The sequence below is a fragment of the Homo sapiens genome, chromosome 8, assembly GCF_000001405.40.
Source record: "Homo sapiens chromosome 8, GRCh38.p14 Primary Assembly".
NCBI classification, from domain to species: Eukaryota; Metazoa; Chordata; class Mammalia; order Primates; family Hominidae; genus Homo; species Homo sapiens.
The window spans coordinates 105,534,456-105,541,418 of record NC_000008.11 but is presented as its reverse complement, the minus strand read 5'-3'; the positions used below and the strand labels follow the sequence as shown (position 1 = coordinate 105,541,418).

At 35.9% G+C, this 6,963-nt stretch overlaps 1 protein-coding gene and 1 long non-coding RNA gene across 11 annotated transcripts in view; one reads left to right on the top strand and one right to left on the bottom strand.

Moving 5' to 3' along the window:
• The window catches only part of ZFPM2 (zinc finger protein, FOG family member 2), a 486,102-nt gene that overhangs the window by 263,121 nt on the left and 216,018 nt on the right, over positions 1 to 6,963 (bottom strand). The gene's annotated exons all lie outside the window — the stretch shown is intronic.
• LOC124902001 (uncharacterized) lies at positions 3,007 to 6,957 on the top strand. Its single transcript, XR_007061046.1, has 3 exons — positions 3,007 to 3,086; positions 6,376 to 6,452; positions 6,876 to 6,957. It is a non-coding gene; the product is annotated as an uncharacterized LOC124902001 (long non-coding RNA).

Genomic DNA, 6,963 nt, shown 5'->3' with positions numbered 1-6,963 from the left:
AGCATGGTGGAACTGAAAGAGAATATGTTTTGAAGTCAGATGGAGATGGGTCTGAATTCCAGCTTTGCTATTTAACAACTGTGTGATAGTAGGATAGTTACTTAAACTGAAACTCAGGGTCCTCATCTATAAAATTGAGAGAAATAATACCTCTCACACAGGATTCTTGTAATAATTAAATAGTATAATATGCATGACAAGGCCTAACCTAAAGCATGCACTTAAAAAATATTTCATCAGGGATGACATTAAAACTTTGCATAGGTTTGGTAGATCAAAAATAAGAAAGGAGGCCCTCCCTTCCTTGGTTTACAAACAAGCACCAGCTGCCTAATTTTGAGACATGGGATCATGCTTTAACTACGGAAAAGAAAAATTCGAATCTTACAGGTCAGTCTGCAACAATACAACTACCAAAACTGCCAGCTACATAAAACTGTTTCAAAGTCATGTAGTGGCATGAGATGAAAATTATGCATAATTTAAAAAATAAATTCACATTCATAAACATTTTCTCAAGTTAAATAACTTGATGAAATGGAAGCAAAGGAAAAAATACTTCCAGCTGCAATCTTCTGAATGTGGGACCTTGTTGCCGATTTCTTACTTTCAGCCATATGTTCATATTTCATCTTTGTGATATTAGGAAGTTTCACAGGAAAGAACTACAGAAGAGAGACAATGCAGTCTGCTGAAAATAATTCCTTGATGCAGAGTCGCCACTTTAACACTTAAACACGAAAATACGTGCAACATAGTTTGTTTTAAGTGGACTGAGCATTTTTAAAACAGGGTCTCCAAACTAAGTTTTATGGAGAGGATTAAATCCAATAAACTTACATTTATTAAGAGAAAGTATGTTTCATTTCAATAGTTTTTAGAATTTTAACGTCATTTATTGATGATAAAACATGTTGTTATCCACTTATCACATATCATAGCTAACATTTTGTAGTGCCTACTATGAGCCATCTACTAAGCTAGATGCCTTTCTTGCATTATCTCATTTGACTGTTATAAAAACCATATGAAGCAGGTTATTTTCACTTAGCAGATGGGAAGGCTAAGGCTTGATGACATTCAGTCATTAGTTCACAAAACCTTGCTCAAGTAGCAGAGTCGGCATTGAGATACCTATAAACATGAAGACTACTTGCTTAACATCCTCCAACAAAATCCCTCTGAATATCTTTCAGCTCTCCCAAAAGCTCTCATTAAAATGTATTACTGAATTGTTATCATGTAAGAATATTCTAAAAAATAGGCTTTCACCTTAAAATAAAATAGGTGGGGTATGAAAACACAGAGAGAGACAGAGATGGGGAGAGAGATAAAGATTGAGAAAGCAAGAGTAAGAAAGAAAAAAACAAAGGATCTGGATATAATAATCCAAAGTAAAATTTAAAAGAAAATGCTTAAGGAAAGCTGACTTTAATAAATAACACTTCTGAAAATATTACCATAATAACCTCTGCATATATTCTGCTCTTTAAAGTTACATGAAGCCCAAATTCTTTGGACAGATGAAGGAAACATGAATGAATAATAAAACAAACAATTGAATAGGTAAGAAAGGCTAAAGATTTAAATTTTCTTCCAGGTATACTTACAGGATTTAACATTTGTGAAACGACAGAAGTCTTCCATGATCTGACTGTACTGATATTGAACAACTTTCTGTTTAGGGCCCAGTGACTATCTCTTATACCAATATAATTATAACTTTGCAATAAAAAGAGGTATATAATAAATCCAAGGTTCTTTCCTCCAGCCTCACAAAGGTGCATGTAAATTGCTGGAGGTCAGTTTTATTGGTTTCTTTACTATCTATCATAGTCACGACGCTACATAAAAATTGTCCTGTAGACAATAAATACGTCTCAGGCAAAGCATTACTTTTTTCCAAGATGTGTAGGCACTGCAATGAAACTGTGGCTCCAAGTGTGTAGTGTATTAAAATGCCTGTAGTAGAAAACGTTCAGAAAGACACCCCTATGATGTTTACTATAAACAAATTACCATAGATTAGATGGACCCGATATGTCTATACTCAGCAATTTCATGCATCATCTTCCCATTTTCAGGATCAAATTAAAGCTTTTCATAAAGTCAACTGAAATATGTAAAACATATGTATTACCATTTATGGTGTCTCAACAAAATGTAATTCATCTACCACCATAGTACAGAATACAGACATTTTGTAAGCCATACATGTTGATGGTGAGCTCATAATATTATTGAGCTGTTCAGCAATCCCAAACTATCTCTTTGAGGTAGGAGAACATTCCTAGAAAGGGCTTCTGAAACAAAAGGGGCAAGAGGCAGAAGAAAATATGAACCATCTCATTGTTTTGTTTTGTTGTTGTCTGGTGTTTTGTTTTGTTTTGTTTTGTTTGTGAGACTGGGTCTTGCTCTATTGCCTAGGCTGGAGTGCAGTGGCACAATCTCAGCTCACTGCAGCCTCAACCTCCCAGGCTCAAGTGATTGATTCTCTGGTCTCAGCCTCCCGAGTAGCTGGGACTACAGGTGCTCACTAGCATACCTGGCTAATTTATTTTTAATGTTTTGTAGAGACAGGGTTTCCCAATGCTGCCCAGGCTCGTCTCAAATTCCTGGGCTCAAGCGATCTTCCCACTGCAGCCACCTGAAGTGTGGAGATTACAGGCATGATCCACCACACCCAGCCTCCATCTCATTGTTTTAATTCAAAATGAAGCTATGAGATCCTTTTAAACAGATCAAGAAAATAACAATGATCTTGGAAGACTAAAAAAAAAAGCCCATAATAATATGGAATAAAGTCACGGATAATGTTTTGAACTTTCTATCAGTGACAGTCTCAAGTATCTCCTGGCCTTTATGGGACAGACAACACAACAATTTAAATATAATATTAAACTGTTGAAAACTAAAAAGATGTTTATCCTAAACGACAGGAGATACTTTCAAAGAGATAGTAACGACATTTCAACAGTGTTCTAAACATAACGTCTACCAGCCAAGATAAATAAAATCTACCACTTTGGAATAGGAATATTTCTCCTTCCATTGAATTGAAGACGTCAAGAAGAAGTAAAGCCTGGGTATGATTTATCAAGGGCTTATTAGGTACCTTAGGGGTATAGTTTCTTTCTTCCTCAAAGTAATTATATAAAGTAAATATCATCTTACCCATTTTATATATTAAGAAGCAAAGGCTTAAGGAAAATAAATAACTTGCCCTGGGTATGGTTGGGACTTACAATCAATATGTGCAGACTGTACCAAACGACACTCTTTCTTACTGAGGGATATGAATTCAATATCATTACCAAAACTATTAAGAATATAATGTACCTCTACTGTTTAAATTGGCAAGGGGTGATACATCTATTAGCAAAGATTTGTTGTCAATATGGAGCCTGTAAAAAAGATATTATACACTTTGGGAGGCTGAGGTAGGCGGATCATGAGGTCAGGAGATCGAGACCATCCTGGCCAACATGGTGAAACCCCGTATCTACTAAAATACAAAAAATTAGCCAGGCGTGGTGGCACACACCTGTAAGTCCCAGCTACTAGGGAGGCTGAGGCAGGGGAATCACTTGAATCCAGGAGGTGGAGGTTGCAGTGAGCCGAAATTGTGCCACTGCACTCCAGCCTGGTGACAGAGCAAGATTCCATCTCAAAAAAAAATAAAGAAGAAGAAAAAAGAAAAAATATATTATAATATTTCTTTCTTTTTCTTTTATTTAGAGTCAGGGTCTCACACTGTTGCCCAGGCTGAAATGCAGTGATGTGATCATAGCTCAGTGCAGCCTCAAACCCCTGGGTTCAGGAAATTTCCTGCCTCAGCCACCTGAGAAGCTGAGACTACAGGCACATGCCATCATGCCTAAGTTATTTATTATGATTATTATTATTTTAGAGATAGGGTTTTGCTATGTTGTCCAGGATAGCCTTGAACTCATGGCCTCAAGCCGTCCTTTCACCTCAGCCTCTCAAGTCCCTGGGATTACAGACATAAGCCACCATGCCTGGACAAAAGATATAAGATTTCAATGAAGCTGTCTTAACTTTTATTTTCTACCAGAAAAAATCAATAATCCATTCCTCATTTGGGAGTTGAAGTTACTAAATGGTTACATGTCTTGGTAGTCTGGTTTAGTATTAATAATCTAGGCCTAAAGAAAGGAAGAATTGGTAACTAATACTTCAACAGAAAACAGAAAAAAAAAATCTGAATTAATCACTGGCACGACTGGGTCAACTGGATTAAGACTCTAATTACAATGCTTTATAGTCTTAAAAAATGAGACTCTGGTAGACTTTCATCTTTAAAACTTTATGAATGCAATAAAACAATTGTTGGGCCATGATTATGGGATCCAATTTAGCAAGGAGACTAGCAACTAAAAGAACTTTGAAGATCATTACTACTCCTGTGATTTTAGGAATTTATGGCAGTGATGACCTACTGTTTTATCCTAGGAAATATAATCACAAGGTAGCAAGAAAAATATCCATAGCTGATACATTATAGCTCAGGGGAAGATGCTTTCACTGGAGGAGACTTTTGATTTGACCACTGTGAAATGCCCATTTTATTGGATGCATTCCAGAACTCTCCTACAGGTTCCAAAAGGGAGCCTTGGTCATATCATTCCTCTTTTCTGACACTCATTCTTCCCTGACTGCCCCCATGCTTTCATACAAGTCTCCCTAGCACTCATCATGCTAATGGTATGTGATCTTCTGGCTATCTTATTCAACATTCACAACTTGAAAACAACACTTAAAGCCAACAATGTGTCCTGTGTTCATAAATGTGTCTTTTAAACATCTCAAGGAATTCTCATTGTTTGTAACATGGACAGAGATCCCATTATCTCGGTGCAAATAAAAGTAGTTCTTAACAGAAATCTGTTTTCTTTTTGAGCATTATGAAACGGCCTCTGACCTTCAACTTGAGGAGTACAGCATAAAAAAAAGATAAGATTCCACAGTAAACCATAAAAAATAGAAAGGGGACAAGAGGGGAAAAGAAACTTAGCAAAGAACATTAAAAATTTACTTAAATACGAGTCTCTTTTCCTTAATATATTAGCAATCACCTACCAATAATAATACCTTGAGATGAAAGAAAATTGATGATATGGACAAAAAAACATAAATATTAAAATAGACCACATTCATTATTAAGCAGTAAAATTAAAATAGCAATATTCCCAATATGACCCGGTGTCTTTAGAAGTCAGGCTACATTTTATTCTTTCAGAACTTAGGGCTAAATAATACATAATTTATTCAAGGTCTATTATTACATAGAATTTTTGTTTAAACTATAATGTGATTTCAAACTGCATCTTTGTTTAAACCAGGGCTCATTAAAACTTTGAAATATTCTATAACCCTCTGGAACTCAAAGATCTCTGTCAAGGCCTATTGCCTATGCAGACAAGTTCCCATCTCTAATTAAAGTATTCATAAAACTGTGTACACAGCCTGGCAATATAAAAATAATGATTGTATGAAAAGTAAGATCAAATTCCTAATTTTAAAAACAGTCACAAAGGGTTAAAAGTAATGTCATAGAGTGGTCATTTGGGAATACTGAAGTCCATGAACATAAATCTCTAGCATCCCATGTAACATGCTTATGAATGACTCTAATCAGAAAGAAGACAGAGTTAAACTCTCCCTCCAGGGCTGAGCATCTGAAGCAAGCTGGGAGGCTATAATAATCAGATGAATTTAGACACTATAATTTTCCAAGAACCTCACAGTCCTTCTAGGCCTGAGACTGACTTTACAATTTCTTTGAAATGCTCAAAAGAAGCCCAGAAAAATCAAAGCAAAGGATTATTTTCCAGAGAATCGAAACTGTAGACCATAACACAGAGGTCAGTTGGTTTCCAAAGCAAACAAAATACTCAATTTATATGATGGACTACATGTTGAAATCCTGTTTATTATATGCAACATACGAGTGAGTTTTTGAAACATTTCCCCAACAGTTTTCTCTGCTGATATTTGGGTTTAACTGTGGCTTTCACTCTACTCATTTAGGTTTAGAACTAATTTGGAAACACTGGCTTCTAAGAGATGGGCATCAAATAAGACTGCTTCTAGTAGCATGCTTTAATAACAATAAAAACCCCAACTGTGGTTCTGTATGTATGCTACACAGAAACACAAAGGTTACTTGGGAAACAGACAGTCTTTCCTTTATGAATTATGAAGCTTCTATGGAAATCTGGATCGTAACATAAAGTAGTTATTTATTTAATGGGAAGGAGGCCAATGGCAAAGACATTTGGAATTTCCAGTCTATTTATTCCCCAATGATATGCCTTCATATGTTTGATTCAGGACCTTATTTGAACATTGCAGGGGAAATTAAAAGAGCCAAATGCTGTGTCTTAGGAGATACACCATGTATTCGGAGAATGCCATCTTATGGTCTCAATGTAAGTAGTGTCTGAAAACTTGCTGTTACTATAGACAGATTTTTCTTTGGTCATTTGGATGAAAGCATACCCCTGACTCCCCCCAATATGTTCTCCGCACCACAGCCAAAGCAATCATTTTCAAACTGTAAATATCATCATCTCCTCCAGTACTCACAGCTCAAAATAATTTAATGTCTTCTCAGGCCTCTTAAGTCAAAGGCAAAATTCTTTAATAATTCTTAAATGTCTGGTTGTTTCCTTGTTCTCTTGTTCTCCTGGTTTCAGCCACATGTATTTTCACTGAGCTGCTGTATGTACCAGGGACAATGCTCAGCTGTTCCTTTGTCTAGATATTCTTCTCCTTCTCTTTAATTAACTCCTATTAATCTTTATAAGCTTAAGCTTTTTAAGCTTTCCCTCAGAAAAATTCTCCTTTTATAGAACTTACCTTTTAATTGGGAAGACAGACAAAAACAGAGGAAGAGGAAGAGAAAGGAGGAAAGAAGGAAGAAAGGAAGGGAGGAAGGAA